This window comes from Homo sapiens, chromosome 12 (assembly GCF_000001405.40).
Source record: "Homo sapiens chromosome 12, GRCh38.p14 Primary Assembly".
Classification (NCBI taxonomy): Eukaryota; Metazoa; Chordata; class Mammalia; order Primates; family Hominidae; genus Homo; species Homo sapiens.
The window spans coordinates 45750854-45777948 of record NC_000012.12 but is presented as its reverse complement, the minus strand read 5'-3'; the positions used below and the strand labels follow the sequence as shown (position 1 = coordinate 45777948).

The following is a 27095-nucleotide window of genomic DNA, read 5'->3' as shown; positions in this document are numbered from 1 at the left end:
CAGGCGTGAGCCACTGGGCCTGGCCGGTTTTAACCATTCTTATTAGTAAAATTACTAAATAGTCCAGTTTGTTAAAATTCTACTTGTTGAGTATAATATAAACTTTATAAAATATAAAATATATATTTATATAAAAAAATAAAATATATATTTATATAAAAAATATAAACTTTAAAGACAACAGTCCCTGTACTTAGTCCCTATAATCTACGACAACGCTAAGAAAGGCTAATGTATAATAAGCTAAACTAACATAAAATAAAAATTAGTTTACCAGCAAGAATAAAATATGTAGCACCTATATTGAAAGATAATTAGGGATAGACTCAAGTTAAGACTTTAGTAGTATAACCTGCATATAAAAAATTTGACTTACACGGAGAAAAATTAAGGTCACCAGTTGAAGTATCTCAATATTAATGTACTGCTTGTGCATTATTAAGAAGAAAGGCCCAAAGATTTGCAAGCTATAGATAATAGCACAGCTCTGTACATTTAATGTGATTGTATCTTCTATATATTATACACAATACACTATCATCTCAATGGCAATTCAGTCATTATGAACACATTAATTAGAGCATTAATACTTATTACACTACAATTAAATTCTCAAATAGACTAACAGTACTATTATAAGCATCCAAATCTGGAATTCTTTTCTACCACTATTTAAAAGAACATCTCTATACAATATATACTATACTATGAACTTTTAGAATATATTTTTAGACTTCTTTTCTTTAAATAATTGCAGTTTTCAGCATACTACCTCTTCTTATATATTATCATCCTAATTTCCATTTTTAAAGTTTCCTTTTTTATATAAAATATCTTATTTAAAAAATAGAGATGGAGGTTGGGCACAATGGGTCACGTCTGTAATCCCAGCACTTTGGGAAGCCGAGGCAGGTGGATCACTTGAGGCCAGGAGTTTGAGACCAGCCTGGCCAACATGGCAAAACCCCATCTCTACTTTAAAAAAAAAAACCACATAAATTAGCTGGGCATGGTGGTGTGTGCCTGTAACCCCAGCTACTTGGGAGGCTGAGGCACAAGAATTGCTTGAACCTGGGAGGCAGAGGTTGCAGTGAGCCGAGATCACGGCGCTGTACTCTAGCCTGGACGACCCCGCAAGACTGTCTCAAAAAAAAAAAAAAAAAAAAAGCCGGAATCTCACTATGTTGCCCAGGCTGGTCTCGAACTCCTGGGCTCAAACGATCTGTCCGCCTTGGCCTCCCAAAGTGCTGGGATTATAGGCATGATCCACCATGCCCAGCCTCGATTTTTAAAGTTTCTATAGAAGCATGTGAATTTTTAAAAAAATCCTTTGATTTCATGTCTCAGGAATCTGTTTAACTCAGCAGCTCCTCAGTACCAAACAATCATACTCCCACAGTACAGGATTTTAAATTAAATATTTTGAGGGCTTTTTTAAAATAGTGATTTATATAAACACCTATCCTGACCCTTGAAATAATATTTCTCAAACTGTCTTTCTTTAAACGCTTCATGTGAGCTATTTGAGTTCAGCCAGAAATTTGGACAGTTTATCTTCCCACAAGTAATACAAGTTTAAAATGTGGTAGTTTGAACAAAAGGAGAACAAGACAAATATACTGGATTAAAATCAAGTGAACTTATTTCAACAAGTCACTCTCTGTAGAGCAGTTCCTAAACTTTAGCAAGGTTCAGAATCACCTGGAGGACCTGTTAAAAACAGACTGCTTGGCCCTAACCCCAGAGTTTCTGACTGAGTAGGTCTGAATATTTGCATTTCTAACAAGCTCCCAGATGATGCCGATCCGGCTGGTCTGGGGAACCTCAGTTAGAGAATCACTGCTGTAGAGTCTCATGAAGTATACTGCCTGAAATAAAAATTGTAACATGTCAAAAGTTCTCTAATTAGAAACACATATCTAAATATATGTAAGCAAATACTCTCTTGCCTAACATTGTATTAATTAGTTACTGGAAGTAAATTATTTCAGAGAAATATGGTACCACCGGATTTTCACCAATTATTACAACAACGTAGGTTAAAACATTCTTCGAAAGGTTAAGTTTACCAGCTAGAAATTACTAAGATAAGCAACAGCAATAAAGTACTTAAAGCAGAAAAAAGTATGATCCTGAATAACTTATAAAATGAAAAGATTAGTTCCTTAATATATTTAAACTAAATTCTATTTGCATCCATCTGGCAGTAAAATTAACACAGTATGCCTTTATTTTAGAGCATACCTAAAGTGGAATCATGACTTCACCAAACTACTTAGCTCATATGACATTGGCTGAGCTAATGAGTTAATGTTTCTCCTGCCTTAAAACAGACAGTTCCAATATAGCAAAGCTTTAAAATGCTTTGTAATGTTATTCTCCCTTCCATGAAACTAGTAACGCATCAAATTGTAAGAACAGTAATGAATAAATTTTCAAAAAAGAATCCAGAAACTTCTGAGAGAGAAAAAATTTGAAAACTTAAAATTCTTTTCTCACCTGGATTCAGATGGAGTCTTATTGGATGTGATAAGGATGCCCTAACCAAAACCCAAGGGCATAAAAGAGCAATGAAGCCTCTTAGATAAAATCCCTATTGCACATAGAAATAGACATTCTGGAAGACTCTGTCAGGCATAGAGGGCAATGATCCAAAAATAGTTCTAGGTTTTCTCTGAGATGGCAAACACTGCAAACTTTCTGGAGCTAGACATTCTGGTTGTCAGCTTACGTCCTAAAGTACTAGCATGAAAATATAGTTCAACCAAACACTAAAAGAAAGCATCATTTTCCCTCAAACCTGCAAGAATCATGGCTCATAGGATGAACGCACAATCACTCCAGGCCAGGGTTTCTCATCCTCAGCACTATTAACATTTCAGGCTGGATAATTCTTCTTTATGGGGGGACCATCCTGAGCATTATACATTATTCAGCAGTATCCCTAGCCACTATTCACTAAATGCCAGCAGCACTCCCCAGCTATGACAATCAAAAATATCTCCAGACATTGCCCAATGTTCTCTGTGAAGCAAAACTACCCCTTATGGAGAACTACTGCCGTAGCTCAAAATCAAGAACAGCAGTAAATTGAAAATGTTTACAAATAATCTAAGTTTTGGATGGAACAATTATCTGGCCACAATGCCTCATAAAACTCAAGCATTCAACAAATGTTAGCCACTATTATTATCATTTTGTATGTGTACATGGCTGCCTAGTGTGTTGGCAGTAACAGGAGTCTGAACTCACTTCCTGTAATAGTTAACAAAAACGTTTAGAAACTTTGGAGGGAGGAATCGTCTCTTAGAGTCCCACCAGTGCTGCATATTGGGACGCTCATGGGAAGCCATAATTTATATCCCAAATGGTAAAAAAGTATGCCACAATTCATATTAAACACAACACACAAACATGTACACACATGCATACATACACATAAAGGGGAAAAAGATGCTAAAAGTTGACCTACCAACCTCAAAGATCTCTAATACTCAAGTGAGACGCATACAAATGATCTTTGACAGGTATGATAAACAAGTTTCCAGGGAAAAGTGATTTTTAAAAATCAGCCAATTCAGCCCCAGCTTATACTCTTTAAGTTTACACCAAATGATTCAAGGAACATGTAAGGGTCCTTTATTCTTGTAACAGACCTTCACACTAAAAATTAGGTTAACTAAAAACCTGAATATAAGTAATTTAGTAATGTCTTTAAATTAACATTATTATATTAGAACCTAGAAATACAACTAGTATTTGGTATAATCTTATAAACACACTTTAAACATTTTATTTAAAATTTTTAAATAAATTCGGATTCAATAATCAATAATCTGCCTTCAAAAGGTTTCCCTCACTCAGGCAATACAATGTCTTTTAAGGAAGTTAAAAGTTTTATAAACTAGTTACAAGATAATTGAATGCAGGAAGCTACTATATATGAAAAAAAAGTTTCCACTCAAAGCAAGGATCTTAATCTCCAGTCACAGGGGAAGATAAATAACTTACTGCTATTTCCCTAGTGCTCTGGTTACCCATTCCCACACCAACTGCTGTAAGAAGGTACATCTGTCCCCAACTAAGTCTATTTCTTGCAAAAGTTGGTGAAGAATCTGTACTAATTTTCCTTTCAATGTTTGGCAGAATTCCCTAGTTAAACCATCTGGGCCTTTGCTTTACCTTGTAGGTGGCTTCTTAAAAAAATAATAATTAACTCAATCTCTTTATTTGTTATAGGTCTATTTACATTGTCTTTTTTTTTTAAGTCAATTTTGGTAGTTTGTATCTTTCTAGAAAGTTGTCCATCTCATCTAAGTTATTTAATTTATTGGCATACAGCTGCTACTATTCCTTTACACTCCTTTTTATTTCTGTAAGATTGGTAGCAGTGTCTCCTCTTTCATTTCTAATTCTAGTAATCTGTGTTTTGTTTTTTCTTAGACAATCTAGCTAAATATTTTGGCAAAATTGTTGATATTTTCAAAGACCCAGCTTTTGATTTAACTAATTTTGATTTAACTAGTTTTTCTTTTATTTCATTAATTTCTTCTTGAACCTTCATTATCTCCTTTCTCTGCTTGCTTTAGGTTTAGGTTTGCTCTTTTTTCAGTGTCTTAAGGTAGACGGCTGTATCAATTTGAGATTTTTCTTCTTTTTTAATAGACATTTACAATTACAGATTTTCCTCTAAGCACTACCTTAACTGCACCCATAAGTTTAGTATATTATTTCTTCATTTTCATTAATCTCATAGTATTTTCCAACTTTACTTCTGATTTCTTCTTTCACTCACTAGTTACTTTAGGAACATGTTCCATTTCTACATATTTTTAAGTTTCCCAAATTTCTTTCTGTTGGTTGCTCATTTCATTCTATTGTGCTTTGAAAACATGCTTTGTATTATTTCTTTTTAAATGTAATAAGGTTTCTTTTACAGTGTTGCATATGGTGTTTCCTAGAGAATATTCCGTTTGCACTACAGAAAAATCCATATTCTGCTACTGTTGGATAGTGTTCTGCTACTCTTGGATAGTGTCTGTTTGGTCTGGTTGACTTACAATGCTGTTCAAGTCTTATATTTCCTTGTTGATCATCTGCCAAGTTGTTCTATCCGTTAATGAAAGAGGGGTATTAAAGTCTGCAACCATTATTTTTAAATTGCCTCTTTCTCCCTTTATCAGTTTTTGCTTCATACTATTTTGGAGCTTTGTTGTTAGATGCAGATATTCACAATTTACAATTATTATGTCTTCTTAATGAACTGCAATTTTTTTATGAATATAAAATGTCCCTTTTTAGCTTCAGTAACTTTTTTTTGTTTTAAAATCTATTTTGCCTGATATTAATATAGCCACTCCAGCTTTCTTATGGTTATAATTTGCATAATAAATCTTTTGTCATCCTTTTATTTTCAATCCATATATTTGAATCTGAAGTGTGTCTCCTGTAGAGAGCATAGAGTTGAGTTCTGTATTTTTTATCCAGTCTGACAATCTCCAGTCTCTGCCTTTTTAAAATTTTTGTAAACAGGGTCTTGCTATGTTACCCAATCTGGCTCTTAACTACTGGGCTCAAGCAATCCTCCCATCTCAGCCTCCTGAGTAGCTAGGACTACAGGTGTACTTTACCACACCTGGATTCTAACTTCTGAATTGACTGTTTGATCCATTTACATTAATTGTCATTATTGATATAACTAGATTTTGACCTGCTAATCTACTTTTTGTTCTGTGTGTATCTCATGTTTTTGTTTCTCCATTCCTCCTTCTTTATTGCTTTCTTTTTGCATTACATCAATATTTCCTAATGTAGCATTTTGTCATTGATTTTCCTTCATGTTTGCTCTAGGGCTTCCCATATACATCTTATCAGATCCAGCTTCAGATTTATGCTAACTTAATCACACTGAGATGTGAAGATGTTACTCCTATATAGCTCTATTTCCTTTTCCTCCTTTTTGTGATATCACTGTTTTATACATCTATAAATGTTATAAGCTGAACAATACTTGTTATAGTTATTACTTTACATAATTTTACAACTTTTTTAAAAGCTGAGAGAATAAAAAGAGCAAAGGGAGTTTGCTCTTTTTTACTGTTTCTGGTTCTCCTTGTTCCCGTGGCTTCAAATTACCATCAAGAGTCATTTCCTCAGTTAAGTAGTTTTGTGCCAACAAATTTTCCTCACACTGTAACTGGCAAATATATTGCATTTTAATGTATATGGTCCCAAAGACTATATATATATATATATAGTTTTACACATTTGCTCTTTAAGACAGGGTCTGGCTCTGTTGCCCAGGCTAGCGTACAGTGGTACAATCATAGCTCACTGCAGCCTCAAACTCCTGAGCTCAAGCAATCCTCCCACCTCAGCCTACCAAGCAGCTAGGACTACAGGCATGCAACACTGTGGCTAACTAGTTTTAAATTTTTTTTTTTTTTTGTAAAAACAGAGTCTTACTATGTTGCCCAGGCTGCTCTCAAACTCCTGGCCTCTGGTGATCTACCTGCCTCAACTTCCCAAGGTACTGGGATTTCAGGTTTCAGCCACCATACCCAGCCCACAATTGCTTTTTTTTTTTTTTTTTGACATGGACTCTCAATCTGTTGCCCAGGTGGAGTGCAGTGGCACGATCTCAGCTGACTGCAACCTCCGCCTCCCGGGCTCAAGCGATTCTCCTGCCTCAGCCTCCTGAGTAGTTGGGATCACAGGCGTGAGCCACCACGCCCGGGTAATTTTTGTATTTTTAGTAGAGATGGGGTTTCACCACTGCGCCCAGCCTGCTTTTTAAATCAATTAAGAAATGGAAAAGAAATATGCATTTATACTATCTTTTATAATTATATAATTACCTTCGCTGGTGGTGCTTTTTGTCAATTTTGTGTGTGTGGATTTAAATTACTATGTGGGATCGCCGGCTTTCAGTCCAAGTAACTTCCTTTAGTACTTCTTATTGGTAGTGACAGGAGGCAGTCAAATGCCAGGCAGATAGGGATGGTTCCCTGGTGAAACCCCACTCCCAAGCCAAAGAAAGTTTAAAGCCTGAAAGCCAAGCTACAAGTCAAATCCATGGACTGGATTGAGAACCTGTCTTCCCATTTGGTGCACTTTTCTCTGATTGATCTCTACCCTTCAACTATTTTACATACACCTACTCTTTCCTAATTGGTTTTCTACCCTGCTGTGCCCACCTCTGAGTGGTGCCTCTGCTTTAGCCTTTCTCTGCATACTAGGAAACCAATCAGCACACACTCCCCTATTCTGAGGCCATAAAAACCCTGGACTCAGCCACACTGAGAGAGGGACCACTTCCGTGTCCTCTCTTTGGTGAGAGCTGTTCTGTCATTCAATAAAATTATTCTCCGCCTTCCTCACTCTTCAACTGTCAGTGTATCCCCATTCTTCTCGGATGGGGGACAAGAGCTTGGGAACCACTGAATGTGGGTACAAGCTATAGCACAGGTGAGCTGGGACACCCCTGGTCTAGCTGCAGGCTGTGCTGGTGCACAAGTCAGACTTAGCCCAGGTGGGACAAGTAGACAGGGTGCCCCCCTGCTGTGACCCTGGCAAAGGGGCCAAAAAAAATCCTGTGTCATTGTAAGGCATGACTGCTAGCAACAAATTCTCTGAGTTTTGTTTATCTGTCTGGGAATATTTTTGTTTTGCCTTCTTGTTTTTTGTTTTTTTTTTTGAGATGGAGTCTCGCTCTGTCGCCCAGGCTGGAGTGCAGTGGCACGATCTCGGCTCACTGCAATCTCTGCCTCCCGTATTCACGCCATTCTCCTGCCTCAGCCTCCCGGGTAGCTGGGACTACAGGCGCCCACCACCACTCCCGGCTACTTTTTGTATTTTTAGTAGAGATGGGGTTTCACTGTGTTAGCCAGGATGGTCTCGATCTCCTGACCTCGTGATCTACCCGTCTCAGCCTCCCAAAGTGGTAGGATTACAGGTGTGAGCCACCGCGCCCGGCCTTGCCTTTATTTTTCAAAGACAGATTTCCTGAATACAGAATTCTTGGTTGACAGGTTTGTTTGGTTTTTTCCCCTTTAAGCCCTTGATCTTATCCCACTGCATTCTGGCCTCCATTCTTTCTGATAAGAAGGCAGTTATTAATTTTATTGGGGTTCACTTGTAAGTGATGACATGTTTTTATGTTGCTGCTCTCAAGATTTCCTCCTTATCCTTAACCTATGCCATGATGTGTCTGTGAATCTCTCTGCATTTATTCACTTGGAGTTCACTGAGGGTCCAAGACATATAGATTAATGTTTTTCAATAAACTTGTGAATAAATTTGGCAATGAAAGAAAAATGTTCAGTCCTTCTTCCATTTTCTGTTCTTTTCTGTTCTCTCCTGGTCCTACCATTATGTGTACGTTGGTACACTTCATGGCGTCCCACATTTCTATGAGGTTCTGTTGATTATTCTCCATGCTTTTTTTCTCTTCACACTGCATAATCTCTGTTGATCTATCTTTAAATTAACTAATTCTGTCTTCTGCCAGTACAAATCTGTGACTCAGTCCCTCTAGTGAACTCTTCATTTCAGCCTTAATATTTTTCAATTATAGAATCCCACTTAGTTCTTTTTAATAATTCTGTATCTTTATTGACATTCTCTATTTGATAAAAAATTGTCACCATACATTGCTTTACTTAATAGTGATTTTATTTACTTCTCTGAACATATTTACAATGGCTATTTGAAGTTAATTCCAAAATCTGGTCACTTTTACAGGCAGTTTCTGTTGCCTGCTTTTTTTCTGGTGTATAGCTCATTCTTTGATGTTCTTTACATATCTCACAATTTTTTGTTGGGAACTGACCATTTTATATATTATAGCCACTCTGGATATTGATTGCCCCACTCTGGGGTATGTTACTGTTATTTCTTTAGTCACTGGCTGGATTGTTTTAGTGAAGCATATTTCTCCCAATCTCCCCTCTGTGTGAAGCCCCTCATGTTCCTCCTCAGGAGGCACAGCCTTGGATAGTCCCAAAGTCACCATGAAATGACAGTGGTTTTGGCAGGGCACTCTTTTCCTCTTTCTTTGACCACATCCAGTTGTTAGGCATCACCAATTGCTGGCTGATTACTCCATTGTTTTCAACAATGTGCTGAAGCATAAATTGCTTCACAGGTCAATCAAAACAAATCTGGGTTCCTTTAAAGGAATAGTTTCGGGGGCCAATGTTTGAGATTTGTTCTGACCCCAAAAAGACTCCTCCCAGCTCTTCATTTCCCTGGTTCTCTCCAGCAAACTAGCCCTTCTACAGTTTATTTATCTCCACTGCACCTACCAATCTCCTCCTAACTGTCTCTCACCGCACCCTCCTGTTTTTGAATACTCTTAGGCCTGAACTTCTCCCCAGCAAATGAAGTTAGTTGCTTTAGAAAGAGATTTAGAACTCTGTCTTACAGCATACTTCTCCCCCTAGGCAAGTCTCTATCTCTGGAGCTGGGGAACAATGGTGCACTTCTCTTTGAATGACAACCCAGCTAGAGGACAAAAACACTTTGTGGAGTTGGGGCAACAGCCTCGGGTCTCAACTTGCCTCTCCCAATGTGGAACTGCTGGATTACAAGCTGGGGCATGGGTGACTGTGCCTTCAGTATTCTCAGTGGTACTGTACACAGGTACAGCCTCTGTACCATGAGTAAGAAATAGTTCCTGCCTCTCAGCCCCACTCATCCAGAACTTGACCTCACCAACAGGCCACTAAAAAAAAAAATCTTGATATCCTATTCCTTTGAGAAAGATACCCTCCAACTAGGAAATAAAGGAACAGGTAATCTTGTGTTCTTGGCTGCACCAGTCTGGAGTGAAGTTTCTATCTCAGCAAGCTGGGAAAGAGGAAAAGGAGTGGGTCTTGGTTCAATACCACAGAAATTCAATGTTCTTACCAAGTTTTAGTAGATATTCTTGAATAAATGTCTTTTCATTTGCTATATGTTCTTAGGACCATTTTTCGAGACCAAATGACTGCTTTTTCCAGTTTCACCGGAAAGTGGGTCTACAGAAAGACTCATGCTGTCCTGTTGAAAGTGCACTGTCCCAACTAAATGTATAGCTCAAATGTCTCTTAATGATTTCTTATTGCATCTCCTTCACTGCATTCCTCTTCCACAATCAGAGATAACTACCAGCAACAGTGTGAAGTAGATTTTTTTCCTCATACCTTCAACAAGGAAGATGTACAAACTATAGTTCCACAGATACATCCCATACCACACACCATCGTTCTCCCCAGAACTGAGAGTTTTGTTTTGTTTTGTTTCAAGAAACAGAGTCTTGCTATATTGCCCAAGCTAATCTCCAACTCCTAGGCTCAAGTGATCCTCCTGCCTCCACCTCCCAAGGAGCTGGGATTACAGGCCCCTGCCACTCCACCCAGCTTAAGTTTGTTGCTATTTGTGGTGACCTGCCATTCCTGCCCAGTCTTCAGAGATTTATTTCCTCACTTACAGGATTATTCAAAGCATGGAAAATATTTTTATTTCCAAGTAACCATGTAAGTAACTAAAAGCATGAATCTTGAAAGAAAAAAAATTGAAAAAAAACAACTTTATAAAAACTAAAAATTCTTCCTTTTTTCACGAGAAAATGAAAGCACAAGCCATAGACTGAGAGAAAATATTTGCAAATCACTTATTGGGTAATATTCAGAATACATAAAGGACTCCAAAATTGAATACAAGGAAAACAACTCAATTTCAAAGGTGCACAAAAGACTTGAACAGGCTCTTCACCAAAGAATATATAAAAAATGCAAATAAGAATATAACAGTACTCAATATGATTAGTCATTAAGGAAAAGCAAATTCTAGCCACAGTAAGATATCACTACACACCTATGAGGATGGCAAAAAATAGATTGGCCATGTTGAGTGACAACATGGATCAACCAGAACTTTCAAACATTGCTGGTGAGAATGTAAAATGTTTGTTATTGTTGTTGTTTTTTGTTTTGTTTTGAGACAGAGTTTCGCTCTTGTTGCCCAGGCTGGAGTGCAATGGCGCGATCTTGGCTCACCGCAATCTCTGCCTCCCAGGTTCAAGTGATTCTCCTGCCTCAGCCTCCCAAGTAGCTAGGATTACAAGCTACTTCTTTAAAAATTAAATATATGCCGGCTGGGCGCGGTGGCTCACGCCTGTAATCCCAGCACTCTGGGAGGCCGAGGTGGGCGGATCACAAGGTCAGGAGATCGAGACCATCCTGGCTAACACGGTGAAACCCTGTCCCTACTAAAAAATACAAAAAATTAGCCAGGTGTGGTGGTGGGTGCCTGTAGTCCCAGCTACTCGGGAGGCTGAGGCAGGAGAAGGGCATGAACCCAGGAGGCGGAGCTTGCAGTGAGCCAAGATTGCGCCACTGCACTCCAGCCAGGGTGACAGAGCAAGATTCTGTCTCAAAATAAATAAATAAATAAAATAAAAAATCTACTCTCCATCATTTTCAAGAATATAATCCACTTGGCCAGGTGGGGTGGCTCATGCCTGTAATCCCAACACTTTGGGAGGCCAAGGCAGGCAGATCACTTGAGGTCAGGAGTTCAAGACCAGCTCGGCCAATATAATGAAACCCATCTCTACTAAAAAATAGAAAAATTAGTCGGGTGTGGTGGTGGGCGCCTGTAATCCCACCTACTCAGGAGGCTGAGGCAGGAGAATCGCTTGAACCTGGGAAGCAGAGGTTGCAGTGAGCCGAGATTGCGCCACTGCACTCCAGTCTTGGTGACAGAGCAAGACTCTGTCTCAAAAAAAAAAAAAGTTAAATATATGCCTAACATATCCAATATATAACATAAAACAATATGTTCATTGTGGTCTTATTTGTAACAACCAAAAATTGGAAATAACTCACATGCCTATCAAGAAGTGGATACCTAAACAAATTATGGTGTATCAATACAATAGAATACTACTCAGCAATAAAATAAAAATGAACTTTGCTATATGAAACAACATGGATCAATTTCAAAATAATTTTGTTGACTAAAAGAGTACAAATTGTATGATTTCATTTATATAAAATCCTAGAAAATGCAAACTAATTTGTTATGAAAATAAACTAACAAATTAGTGGTTGCCTGGGGATAGCCAGAGGTTAAAAAGGGGCAAGAAAAGACTTTTGAGGGTGATGAATATGTTCACATTCATAGCTTGACTGTGTTAATAGTTTCACAGGATACACATGTCGAAACCTACCAAATTGTATACTTTATACAATTCAAAAAGCTAAACTGTACAAAGAACATTTTCAGTTTACTGTACATCAATTATATATCTCAATAATGCTTACTGAAGAGAGAATAAAAAGACAAATCACAGTTTATGTGAAAATATCTGCGAATCACATACTTGATGAAGGACTTCTACCCAGAATATTTTGAAGAACTCACAAAATTCAATTAAAAAAAAAAAAAAACCGAGGCCAGGTTCAGTAGTTCAAACCTCTAATTCCAACACTTTAGGAGGCTAAGGCAGGAGGATCACTTGAGCCCAGGAATTCAAGACCAGCCTGAGCAACATGATGAGACACCATCTCTACAAATAGTTTACTTTTTAATTAGCCAGGATTGGTGGCGTGTGCCTGCAGTCCCAGCTACTTGAGAGGCTATCATGGGAGGATCACTTGAGCACAGGAGTCGAGGCTGCAATGAGCCAAGATTGTGCCACTGCACTCCAGCCTGTGTGACAGAGAGAGACCTTGTCTCAAAAAAAAAGAAAAGAAAAAGAAAACAACCCAATAAAGAAATGGGCATGAGATCAAATACTTAGTTACTTCACCAAAGAATATATACAGTGGAAAAAAACATATATTAAAAATGTTCACATTCATTAGTCATTTAGGGAAATGTAAATTAAAAGAACAATGAGATATTATTACACATCTTTTAGAATGGCTAAAATTAATTTAAAAATTAACAATATCAAATGCTAGCAAGGTTGAGGGACAACTGGAACTCACATATTGCTAATGGAAACACAAAATAGTTCAGCCATTCTCAAAAACAGTTTAGCAGTTTCTTATGAGATCAAATAAATATTTAAGGTATAACCCAGCAATTTTACTCCTTGGTATTTACTCAAATTAAGTGAAAATTTCTGAAAAACTTATATGCGAATGTTTATAGTGTTTTTAATCACCAAAGACTGGAAGCAACCAAATTATTCATCAACTAAAAAAGAATAAAGAATCTTCAGTATATCCACACAACAGAACACTACTTAACAACACAAAAGAATGAATTCTGATAGAGGCACTATGTATAAATCTCAGATGTACTGTACTAAGAAAAAGAAGCCAGGCTTAAAAGGCTTCATACAGTATTATTTCATTTATATCACATTCTTGAAAAAGCACATTTGTAAGGGTATAAAACAGATTAGCGGTTGCCAGAGACTGAAGATGGAGAGCTGGACTGACTACAAGGGACAGAAGAATGTGAGGGGTAACACAACTGTTCTACATCTTCATTTTGGTGGTTCTTACACAACTGTTTGCATGTGTCAAAACTTGCAAGGCAGTACTAAAATGGGTGAATTTTACTGTGTGTAAATTATATTTAATAAAAAGGGGGGAATGATTTCACTACTTAAGTAATGTCAAGCAAAAAAAACAACTCCAACAACATAGAGTTAGCAATTTTCTAATCTGTGTTCTTTCACACAATCACTGTTTCGAGTTCCACCACCAAGTATAACTATAATCAGGAAGCAAAAGATAAGGGTAGAAAATTTGCCTTTTTTATGTAATAAAAAATAAAGGTTAATTACTAAAATAATTTTAATAGTTAAGTGTACTAGTCTTAAATGAAAAAGTAGTTACGTCCATAGATAAGTCTAATATTAAAAAAAAACTAGTTGAGAAATGGTGATCACATAAACTGCTTAAGGAAGCAGGAATTATTTCTCATTTATTTTCTGTTTTTACATCTGAATATAAAACATACAAGCACACAATGAATAAACAGCTTTTCAGTGATCCTTTCTATTTGCAATTTTCTATAAATATTAAATACTCTAAAAATTAAATGGCTCTGTATAATCATCCCAAACATAACACTGAAACCAAAAAACAAACAAAAACCATTAACGATATAAAAATTGCAAATTCTCTAGGTCTCAGTTCCCTCAACAATAACAATCAGCCAGGCACAGTGGCTCACACCTGTAATCCCAACATTTTGGGAGGCCAAGGTGGCGGCATCGCTTGAGGCCAGGAGCTGAAAACTAGTCTGAGCAACACAGAAAAGCCCTGTGTCTACAAAAAAATTTTAAAAAAAATTTTTTTTTTTTTGTAGTCCCAGCTATTCAGGAGGCTGAGGTGGGATGATCCCTTGAGCAGAGTTCAAGGCTGCAGCCTGGGTGACAGAGACTTTGTGTCTGAAAACAATAACAACAGTAACAATCTCCTCCAATTATTTCCCTCTTCCACAGGCAAAACATTTTATGACCTTTTTTTTTTTTGAGTCTGAGTCTCACATTGTCACCTGGGCTGGAATGGAATGGAGCGGTCTTGGCTCACTGCAACCTCCGCCTCCTGGGTTCAAGTGATTCTCCTGCCTCCACCTCCCCGGTAGCTGGGATTACAGGTGCCTGCCTCCACGCCCGGCTAATTTTTTGTATTTTTAGTAGAGACGGGGTTTCACTATGTTGGCCAGGCTGGCCTCAAACTCCTGACCTCATGATCCACCCGCCTTGGCCTCCCAAAGTGCTGGGATTACAGGCGTGAGCCACCGCACCTTGCCTCACATTTTATGACTTTAATGGAATTTACTATTACTAAACTATATTGAACATAATTTTTGTTTTGAAGAATAGTAATACACAATTCTTATAAACCTATTAAGTTAAAACTTCTCATTGGAGAAATAATCCTGGTCTTATCCCAACATTACATACATAAAACACTTAGCACAGTATCCAAGACACAATAAGCACCCAATAAATAGTAGCTGTTATAGATCACAATACTTTAAAAGTCAGTTATATTTCTATCACAAAAGGTTTTTTAAATATACTGTAACCAGAATAGCACAATTTGATGCATGAGGAAAGAGACAGAAATTGTTAAAGATAAACTTGTTCTCTTATCTCTTCATAAAACCACTTTAATACCCTAAGATGTTCTGAGAATTCCAAAGAAATTTAATCATTTATAGCTATTACCTTTAGAAGTAAGATATAGGTTTTGGTTTCTGAAAAGTTAAGAGACTAGCACCATCTGCTGGTATGCTGGCTTATTCCTATGAATCCCACTCTACAGATGACGCTGAGGTAATATAAACATTGCTGGATCTCAAAAACCAGTTCAACAACACTTGAAGACATTGATAATGGTAGGGCATCTTTAGGGATGCACAGAGCACATGAAAGCCAGAGTCTACTCACTGATGGGAAGTATAAACTAGGGTTAAAAATTCTACTTGGGTATACTTTTTACTAGGCTGAATTTTCTTATGCAGATTATTGCCTATGCTATCACTACTTTAGTGTAGAACCTAATCAGCAGTGACAGTGAGATACCAGACTAAAACAAGATAGCAGAGAGGGAGGTGCCCTACTTATGTAAGCAGTGCCTACGGACAAGTGTCCCTAAGAAACAGGAGAGAGCCACATGTGAGAAAAACACCAAGTATGGCTGAGCTCGGTGTATGTCCATCTCTCACTCTCTAAATATACCAGCATTTTATGATTATAGAAGATTTAGCAAATGGGAAAAATTAAAGAGATATTTAAGAAGCATTAATATGGGAAAGGGAAACACATACTGACAAGAAATAACCTCATTCAAGAAAAATCAGAACTAATCAAAAAAAACTTTAAACAGTCATAATAAATAGCCTCAGGCAGACATGAAAAAATATCAGAAATACAAAGCAGGAATAAGCAGTTAAGAGAAAGAAAATATTGGCTGTAAAAATATATATAATTATTGCAATGAAGAATTTTAAAATGGTTTGAATAAGAAAATGAACAGAGTTGATTTAAGAATTAATCTAGGAAATGTTCCAAAGGGTCTCAGAAAGCGACAAAAAGATGAATAAAGCGCTAGTTAAAATATGGTGGGGAAAGTAGTATTAGTGTAAATATCTACCCAAAAGGAATTCTATAAGCAAAGAAAATAAACGAAGAAGAATTTGAAAAAATGACAGAATTTTGCAGAATTCACAATATGAAATCTCAGATTGAAATGGCTTAAAGTGCTAAGGAGAAAAGATAAGGAAAAAAAAAAGTCCATACCTAAATGTACTGGAGTAAAATGTAAGCCTTTCAAAGACAAAATTTTAAAAGCTTCTAGCAAGAGGAGCAGGGGCAACATCACCTAAAAAAGAGCAGGGTCAAACTGATACCAGATTTCAGAACACCACCAGGACAGGAAGAGGACAATAAAACATTACCCTATCCTCAAAATATTGAGGTAGAAAAACAAATCCATGCTTAGAATTTTAAATCAAGGTAAATTATCACTTAATTGTGAATGGTAAACATATTATAGGCAGACAATGCCTCAATGTTTACCACAAAAAAAAGACCTTCTTTCAAAGAACATTTGAAAAATGTAATCTAGTCAAAAAAGAAATATATCCAGAAGAAAACAACAAAATATGGGAAGGAAAAAATTTTAGAAGATGTATTGTTATCTTAAAACAAGTGTATTCATAAGAATAAATAATTAAAACATCACATCACCCTATTTCAAGAAAGTAGGGGTGCAGTGTGGAGAGTATGCTAAACTTCTTGGAATTTGTTGGGCAAGGAAGGGAGAAGAGAAAGATTCAACTTGGACACTGAAGGGATATGATATAAAATGGCAGAGCTAAGTTCTAACATAGAAATAATCACATTAAATTCTAATAGGTTAAACTCAGAAGACATATTCTCAGTTTAAGTGTAAAACAACAATCCAGGCCAGGAACAATGGCTCACATCTGTAATCCCAGTGCTTTGTGGGGCCAACATGGAAGGACTGCTTAAATCCAGGAGATTCGGGCTCCAGTGAGCTATGATCGCACCACTGCACTCCAGCCCAGGCAACAGAGCCAGACCCTATCGCTAAAAACTAAATAAAAATTAAATTTAAAAATTAAGTTAAAAATCCAAAATAAATAAATAAAACCAGGATCCAGCAAAGCTGAAAAAAATAAAGAAACAAAAAGGTACCTAAAAAATATGAACCAAAATAAACCCACCATAGTATCAAAAGAATTTAAATTCAAAGGCAAGGGCAATAAAAGACAAATGGAAACATATACCGGTAAAAAAGCAAATGTGAATATACACAGATACACATATATACAGCCTCAACATACATAAGCAACAACTTATGTATAGATACACATATATACAGTCTCAATGTACATAAGCAACAACTAAAAATCTGTGTGCAAAAACACAAAAAAACACAAAAAACACAAAAGAAACACAAAAACACCAAAAAAACACACACGCAGAAAAAACAACTAAAAATCTGTGTGCAAAAGAGATTAACAATTCTAATTAGACGTTGTTAACAAGCCTTCAGAAAATGACAAAAAAAATTTAAAAACCTCAAAATTTGAAAAATGCCACTTTGAAAGTCTGATATCATATGACGTATGTGACATCACAATAAACATAAAATATATTCTTTTTGAGCTTACACAGAACATTCATAAAAACTGACCATATAATAGCCCAAAGAGACACTTCAATTACCTTCCCAAATCAATGAAATACAGACTCTGTACACAAAGTATAGAGCAATAAATTAAAATCAACAACCAAAAGAGAGCTTTAAAAATATTATATCTGGAAATTAAGCTGTTAATTAAAGAAAAAATTCTGATTATAATACTTTGAGATGAATGACAAAATTCATGTCTTTGCTATTCATGCAGCGTTAACAAAAAAGAAAATGCATGTCAAAGTATGTAAAATCTAGCTTAAGCCTAAAGAGAAATTAATTTGAAAAGATCAGAAAATAAGAATCATTTAAAACATACTTAAGATACTATCAAATAATATCATATACATGAAAAGGTGCTTGTTAAACTATAAAATCTCCCAAATGTACAACCTTATTTTTATATGCACTTAGGCCAGGCACGCGCTTGCATGCCTGTAGTCCCAGCTACTAGGCTGAGATGGGAGAATCACTTGAGCACAGGAGATTGAGACCAGCCTGGGAAACAAAGTGAAACCCCATCTCAATCAATCAATCAATTGGTGCAATTAAAATTTCCTAAATTTAATTTTAGTTGGAACTCCCTATAAAAATTATTACACTAAATGGAACTAATTCCTAGGTATGTGTTTACATACGAGAGATATGAGATCTAAAAAAACGAACGGACATAGCTGAATATACATATTTTCCTCTATTTCAATAAGATAAGTACACCAATTACCTTTACAATTTTAAAACTGAGAATTTGGGAAGAAGACCTAAAATCTCCTAGATCATATTGCAATTTAAGTGGACCACTGCATCACTAAGTCATCATTTTTCCCTTTCATGGAAAACAACTGTAATCAAAAGTGCTCATTTTAATAAACCATTACTTTGCTATTACATTTTTGATAGACAGTCTGTACATCAAGTATCTGCATGCCAAATAATATTATCTCATTATATTCCTATATGTGCACATATACACATATACATATCACCAATTTAAAAACTCAATATACATTCAGACATCCTGGGGAACTGAATGCTTCATACACTGAAAATTCTTACACCCATAAGTTACTCATTTACAGAGAACTAGAATACAATATACTTAAAAAGTAATTTCTATAAAGTACAATCTATTATTTACGTGAAAACATAGAAAACACTTCAGCATTTGGAAAAGCATATCAGAATAATTAATAACAGCCTGCTAAATACCTCTATTCTCCCTATAAATATATATATTAATATATACATACACATATGTGTGTGTGTGCGTGTCTTTTATCACAACAGAAGTTTCAGCAGGACATATCTGATATGACTTTTTTAGGTGTTCTCTAAGGCTTACTACATGATCAATTTTTATTAATGGTCTGTGAAATCTCAAAGACTACATTTCCCAGTCTCCCTTGTGTAACAAGGTTCTGACCAGTGGAATGTGAATAGAAAAGACATATACAACTTTCAAGGTGTACCCTTAGAAAAAGTGCTTCTTCTCTCTTTTACTCTGCCCTGCTAGCTGGAAGGAGGATGTACTGGCAAGTACTACAGCAGGCATCTTAGACCATGAGATGGAAACCATTAAGGAGGAGGATAGGAAAGAATAAGGCCCAAGGGCTCCACAAAGCTACATTATCAGTCCTAGACTATTTATGTTTGGACTGTTATATCAGAGAGAAACAAATTTAAGATTTGTTAAGCCATTGTTACTTAATTTTTGGGGCAGCTATAAAACCTGTAGCCTAACATTTGGAACACCAACTATTATCTTGTAGAGCAGGGGTGTTCAATCTTTTGGCTTCCCTAGGTCACACTGGAAGAAGAATTGCCTTAGGCGACACATAAAACTAACACTAACAATCGCTGATGAGCTTAAAAAAAAGTCGCACAAAAAAAAAATCGATCGCACAAAAAAAAATGTCATAATGTTTTAAGAAAGTTTACAAACTTGTGTTGGGCCTCATACAGCCCACGGGGCTGCATGTTGGACAAGCTTGTTGTATAGAGTTATTAGAAAGTCTATGAAGTTGGACTAAATCTACCCTTACTTAATGAAATGCCTTTAATGTTTGTTTTCCATATTAATAATTTCATAAAAAATGCCCACCTATTTATCTTTTACATTTTTCTCAAGAAAAAAGTATGTAATATGTCGAGAAACTGTAAGCATCCTGCTTATTTAGGTTCCAGAGAAACAAAACTTTGTTGTCTCGAAAAATCGCTTTGTTGTCTCAAAGAATCCTTTTGTCTTCACAGGGAATTCATAAATGACTATTCATTTTTGTGATCTTTGCATATTCACCTAAAGGAATTTATTAGAAAATATTGGACAGCAAATATTTAGAGAAATACTGGAGTTAACGGATAATTGAAGCAAGCACCATGTCTATTCCACCAGTTCAAGAATAAAAGATAATTCAACAACTTACAGATCTAATTGAAATGCATTCTCAAACTGCATTCACATGACAAAAGTGTGAAGAATTTGCACTGAAGTGTTGAAATCTAATCCTAAGAACTAACCGTATGAAATATTTGCTAATTCACTAATCAGGGTTCATAATCTTCAGACTTTTTTAAACGACTCCTCTCAAGGCACCCTACTATGCCCTAGTAATGAATGTTAACTGTTTTTACTCTTCTAGTGCATTCTAAATAAATTCCACTAAAACTTGGCTTCTCCTTTTTTCTCAATCAAGCTCTCTGTGATCATGATCAATCATCCCAGAACTAGAAGGGCAATGGGCTTTCACATCTGTCTCAGTAAGTTAAACATTTTTCAAGACTATCCCAGTTGGGTCCATTTTATCTAGCAAGTTTGTGTACTGACGGCAACATTTCCTAAAACTTCACATTTACCCTGTGAGTGATACGTATGCTAGGGGCTGGTGAGGTCAGGAGTGGGAAGAGATGGGACAATATGTGCTCAAATGTGTTTGGGAAATTCTGTGGACAGTCAGAAGATACATTATAAGCATATTAGTTTGAGAAGTGTTGCAGAAAAGAACGATGTTTAACTGTTTTTCCAAATAGTATTTAAGTACAGAACACATTTTCCACAGTCCACCTACTTAACAGTTTGGGAATGCTGGCCTAGGGATCTTTGCAAAGAAAACCAGTCCTTAGTCAATCATCCAAAATTGTACAATGAAAGGGGATTTGATACTTCATTAGGAGCTTAAACTCCTTTTCCTTATAATAATGATTCAGAGAAAGGAACAAGCTGAGATTTTTCCCTTAATTCAGGCTGCAGTTTACAAAGATGAATACTCCTTGCATTGCAAGGAGACTATTCCTGAACTTGCTGTGAATACCATGAAAAGAGCTCCACATTTTGTTTATATTACAACCGCCTCTGCTCTTTTTTTTCTTTTTTTAGAGGCAGAGTCTCATTCTGTTGACCAGGCTGGAGTGCAGTGGCACTATGCCAGCTTACTGCAGCCTCAACCTCCCAGGCTCCAGGGATCCTCCCACCTCAGCCTCTCAAGTAGCTAGGACTAAAGGCGCATGCCACCACACATAGCTCAAGCAATCCTCCCGCCTCAGCCTGCCAAAATGCTGGCATTACAGGCATGAGCCACTGTGCCCAGCCTCCTCCACTCTTCTAAGCAAAAGCAAACCCATGCCTTGAATGTTACAGGTAGGGAAGTTTGGGAAAAATTAACTTCATTCTAAATGCTGGATTTTCATCATTTGAGAATATCTGTCCTCTAATTGTGGTTGCAATGTTGTCAGTTACATATTCTTTGCATATTAATTGAAGGTGAGTTAGAGTGGAAGCAATTTTTATTAGTCTCAACCTTTGTGATAGCTATTTAAAAATCACTTCTAAAGGGAAAAAATATAGAAATGTCCAAACCAAATCAAATCAGCTTAATGTTAAAATAAGATTCTAAGTAACAAAAAAGCCCTTCCAGAAGAATTTTAATAAGATATGATGCTAAGTACATCCCAGTAGATAATTCTCCCCACTCCCAAGTATCTTTCCTGAACAGTCCCTTTTTCTTAACCACATGCACTAGCCACACAAATGTGTGTCCAGGAATATCCAAAGTTAGAAAATGTATTCTAGGCTGGGCGCGTTGGCTCATGCCTGTAATCCCAGCACTTTGGTAGGCTGAGGTAGGAGGATCACTTGAGGCCAGGAGTTCGAGACCAGCCTGGCCAACATGGTGAAACCCCATCTCTACTAAAAATGCAAAAATTGGCCAGGCGTGGCAGCACACACCTGTAATTCCAGCTACTCCGGAGGCTGAGGCACGAAAATCGCTTGAACCTGGGAGGCAGAGGTTGCAGTGAGCCGACTTCACGCCACTGCACTCCAGCCTGGGTGACAGAGTGAGACTCTGTAACAAGAAAAAACAAAAAGTATTCTAAAGAACTCTGAAGGTTTCAAATATGTGTATCTATCTTCTGTTCAGCCTGTTTCTGTCATTTGTAGATATACTTATCCCACTAGGCTCTATCTCACATGGTTCAGAAGAATAGAAGACAATGTTGCCAAATTATTCAGAGAGAAGTGCTGAGTTCCAGAGCTTGTTTAAAAAAAAAGTGAGCTCAGAGATGAAGTTGTAAAAAGTTCCTTCCAGCACAGAGGAAGAAGATAAACTGAATTAATAAGCTACATGTAATCTAAAATTTTACATGATTATGAACAATGGTGGACCTACACTCAAATAAAATATAGAACAGTTTATCCAATTTCCTAGTAAGTAGAATTCTCTATTAACCTGTTCTTCTGTAAATCAACAGTTCAATGACAAGTGATACTTACAACGATAAGCCTAAAGATACCACAGATTCTGAAGTACTTTCTGAATGTGACTTCCTTGTCTAGTATTTTTAAAGAAGTATTAGTTCACATTTATCTTAATATTCTATAAAAATAATCTCATTCTCTGACCAAGCTGGGCAGGTGTGTTTGCCATTCCTGCCACTACTTCCTCCTATCTCAAACCTATCCCACATACCAATGTAAGATTAATGTTCCCAAAACATCACTTTCATCAAAACAGTGTTCTGCTAAAAAACAAACAAATAACAACTACAAAACCTCCCCCAAATCTCACATCCTCACTATATGCAGAATAAAGCTCAAATATGTTAATTTGATTTTCAAAATCCTCCACAGTCTAAAACCAATTTTTGGTCCAGGTCTTATATTCCACCAATCACATGCGTTAACGCCTCCGATGCAGCAGAGTTCATTTACATGTTTAAAATACACTGTACAGACTCTCATTTTCCATTTTCCTCATATCTAAAAAGTCCCCCATCTTCCTTTTTATTGTTTCTATCTGAATCCAACCAGTCTTTCAATGTCAAGCTTGAGGGCTCTTCCATAGGCCCCTCTCTATCTCAAACAAAAGTGATTTCCTACTTTTCTTATTTCCAATTATCCTTGCAAGCATTCATTCATTGATTCTATTAGCCACACATTAGGTAACTCCTATGCACTAATTAGTATTGTGTTATGATGTTAGGGCTACTAAAATACACAATACTAAGTCCCTACCTCCTCAGGCTCACAGTTCACAGAAGAAACAGACAATAAAAAAGTTGTTATAGTAGTGTTTGTAATAGAGATATAAATGAGGAGGAAAGTGGGATTATAAAGAAGGATCTACTTCAAGCTGCTTGATGAGATAAGAAAAGGCTTTTTAGAAAAGGTGACATTTGTGTTCAATTTCAAAGATAGGTAGGAGTATGTCAGGCAATGAAAAAAGGAAAGGAATTCCAGACAGGGAAAATGGCACATGCAAAGGCAGAAAGGTGAGAAAAACTTGGCATGCTTGGAGAACTATAAATGGATCAGCATGGCTGGATCTAATTCTACTAACTAATTCTACCAACGTGTACTGACTGTTCATTAACCAAGCTTTAAAACAGAAAAAAAGACATAGTATCTGTCTTCAAAAGATGTGCAAGGGTATGGCAAGGAGATTAAGAATGGAAAAGTAATGAAGGGCCTTTTACGACCTACTAATATATTTGGACTTTCTTCTTTAGCAATAGAGAGCCACTGAAGAAATGTAAGCACTTACCTGCATCACTCAGCCCTCTTTTTTTATTATTTTTTTGCCTGATACTATTACTTATGCATTCAAGTGAATGAAATGCTTCTATAAGATTCAACAGTTTGTTTTTTGAAACAACTAAACCAGAATGTATTCATTCCAATGAACATTATTTTCCAAGTAATCACCTTGTTGAAATCATAAATGTATTTCAATGATACTATTAGTTAAAAATAACTTTTTAGTAGTTGCTTTAGAAATGACATCAGATATAGCCAGAAGCATCACAAATCTTAGTACTTCATCATGTTGAAAATGGCAAAAGTCACTAAGAGCTAAATTTGGCAAATAAGGTGGGTAAGCAAGTTGTTGTTATGGGGGCTCATGCCTATAATTCCAGCACTTTGGAAGGCCAAGGAGGGCAGATCGCTTGAGTCCAGGAGTTCGAGACCAGCCTGAGCAACACAGGGAGACCTCGTCTCTACAAAAAATACAAAAATTAGCCAGGCATGGTGGCACGTGCCTGTAGTCCCAGCTATTCGGGAGGCTGAGGTGGGAGGATCGCTTGACCAAAGGTTGCAGTGAGACGCAATCGCACTATTGCACTCCAGCCTGGGCGACAGAGCGAGACCTTGTCTCAAAAAAAGAAAAAAGAAACCTGGATTATGTTTTAGATCAATTACAGGATCAGCAGAAAATAATAAAAATTTGCATTTATAGATTAAACTATATACCAGACACTACATATACTAATGTATTTACCACTCAAAACAACTCTATAAGGTACACACTTTATTATCTACTTTTTACAGGTGAAACTGTGCAGAGTAACTTGCCCAAGGTCACAAAACTGACTGAATGGAGAAGGTGAAATCTGAACCCAGATAGTGTGCCTCCAGAGCCAACTCCTAAATCACTACGCTACAGACCATCATGAGGGGGGAAACACTTTTTTTTTTTTTTGAGATGGAGTTTCGCTCTTGTTGCCCAGGCTGGAGTGCACTGGCACAATCTTAGCTCACTGCAACCTCTGCCTCTGGGTTCAAGTGATTCTCCTGCAACCTCTGCCTCTGGGTTCAAATGATTCTCCTGCCTCAGCCTCCCGAGTAGCTGGGGTTACAGGCATGCGCCACCACACCCAGCTAATTTTGTATTTTTAGTAGAGACAGGGTTTCTCCATGTTGGTCAGGCTGGTTGTCTTGAACTCCCGACCTCAGGTGATCCGCCCGCCTCAGCCTCCCAAAGTGCTGGGATTACAGGCATGAGCCACCACGCCCAGCTGGAAAAAAACTTTTAATGAACAAATTTAATAAAACTTTATAGCATGACTCAAACTGACTCTTAAGAGTAAACTACATGATGTCTTTACAGAACAACAGTATCCCCGATGACTTCCTCTCAAGATAACTGTAGTGGTTGTTTTAGCTTAATTTCTGTTATGTTTGCTTAAGAAAAATCAGCCTTGGCCTGGTACAGTGGCTCACGCCTGTAATGCCAGCATTTTGGAAAGCCAAGGCAGGAGGACTGCTTACTGGCCTGGGCAACATAGCGAGATCCTGCCTCTACAAAAAATCAGCTGGGTGTGGTGGTATGAGTCTGAGTCCTAGCTACTCAGGAGAGTGAGGCAGAAGGACTGCTTGAGCTCAGGAATTCAAGGCTACGGTGAGCTATGATTATACCATTACACTCCAGCCTGGGCAACAGAGCCAGACCCTGTCTCTTAAAAAAACAAAACAGAAAACTCAGCCTTATTATTTTACAAGTGTACCTACTGAGTGTTTCCTCCCTAACTAAACATAAATCATTGAATCCCATATAGTATTTGGCACAATTAATTCAAACAAAACAAGCAGCACTAGCACTTATCATGAACCAGACACCGTGCTCTCTACCTAAGATAGAGAAATAAAGAACACAGTTCCTGTTTTTAAGGAGCTAAGATTTTAGTAGGGGAGACAGAGAGCTAGCTTATGGTAGACAGCATTTATTAAGGTTCAATCCTATGCCAAAAGACTAGAAAAAAATACGCCAAGATGTTTGTTCATGGCGTTCAATAATTTTATCTGCATATGCTAGGATATTACACTGCTTGATATTTTCCCTCCATGGATCTTCTAAATTGTGTACTATTAACACATATTATAGACTTTGATAACAGAAGAAAATTAGGTTTAAAATTGAAAAAGTATAAAACTTGGCACCTAATGGGTTATATCTGAGGTCTCTGCTAATTAAAGTCCTCAAAGTTTTATATTTGAAACTTTAGAAATATATCTAAAATATGAATACTTTTTACCATCTCAAGAGCTATGAACCTTGGTCGTACAAACTATCATTTTTCAACTGGATTACAGTCATGCACTGCAAAATGACATTTAGGTCAATGACCATATATACAATGGTGCTCCCATAAGATTATAATATCATATTTTTACTGTACCTTTTATATGTTTAGCTATGTTTAGATACACAAATACTTACCATGGGGTTACAATTGCCTACAGTATTCAGTATGTAGCATGCTGTACAGGTTTGTAGCCTAAAGCAACAGGCCATACCATATAGCTTAGGTGTGTAGTAGGCTCTACCAGCTAGGTTTGTGTAAGTACACTCTACGTTGTTCAAACAATGAAGAAATCACCTTACAACCCATTTCTTAGAATGTATCCCAGTCATAAAGCAAGAACTAACTGTATTTTCTCAGCCTTCTATCAAGACTCTTTGGTTCTACCCTTGAGCATGCAACATCTATACACAACAAAGCATCCAGACAAATCCAGATAACACTTCATTGCTCAAAATCCTCCAATGGCTTCAGTAGATGCAAAGATCTTCCAGAGGCCCTACAAGATCTGCTCCCAGATTGTACCTCTCTGATCTATTCATCTCCACTGCTTTCCTCTGGTCTGGTCACTAATGCTAGCCACAATGGGCTCCTAAATGTTCTTTGAACATACCAAGCATACTCTCTTGCTGTTTGTTCATTCTTATCCCAAATATCCACCTGGTTTGCTCCTTTCTCTCCTTTAAGTCTGTATTCAACTCTTGCTAAGACTTTTCCAGTCCAGTTTGTCTAACGATTTAACACCCTACTCAAGCAAAAGCCATCTCCCTTTATTTGCTTTATTTTTCTCCTTGTGCTATTAGCTAGCATACTCTTATTTGTCTCCTTTCCCTCACTCTAAAGGGGAAATAATTTTTCTCTGTTCTCATCATTGATATATGTCCAGTGCATAGAGTCTAGCACAAGATACGTGATCAATTATTATTCATTAAATTAATGAATAAAGAGCAGTATTCTACATAGCTGGTAAAAGTTTGGTCTCTGGAAGCAGAAGACCTGGGTCAAATTCTAGCCCCACCACTTTGTACTTGGGTCACCTTGTACAAATTACTTAACCTTTCT

The 27095-nt window shown here is 37.0% G+C and overlaps 1 protein-coding gene across 3 annotated transcripts in view, besides 1 other annotated feature; it reads right to left on the bottom strand.

Moving 5' to 3' along the window:
* The window catches only part of ARID2 (AT-rich interaction domain 2), a 178332-nt gene that overhangs the window by 130089 nt on the left and 21148 nt on the right, over positions 1 to 27095 (bottom strand). The gene's annotated exons all lie outside the window — the stretch shown is intronic.
* Positions 8819 to 9763: an enhancer, noted in NCBI's record as "NANOG hESC enhancer chr12:46161969-46162913 (GRCh37/hg19 assembly coordinates)". NCBI's record gives its function as "activates a minimal SCP1, AML or CMV promoter by ChIP-STARR-seq in naive H9 embryonic stem cells {active_cell/tissue: H9 hESC(naive)}" and the evidence as "EXISTENCE:reporter gene assay evidence [ECO:0000049][PMID:30033119]".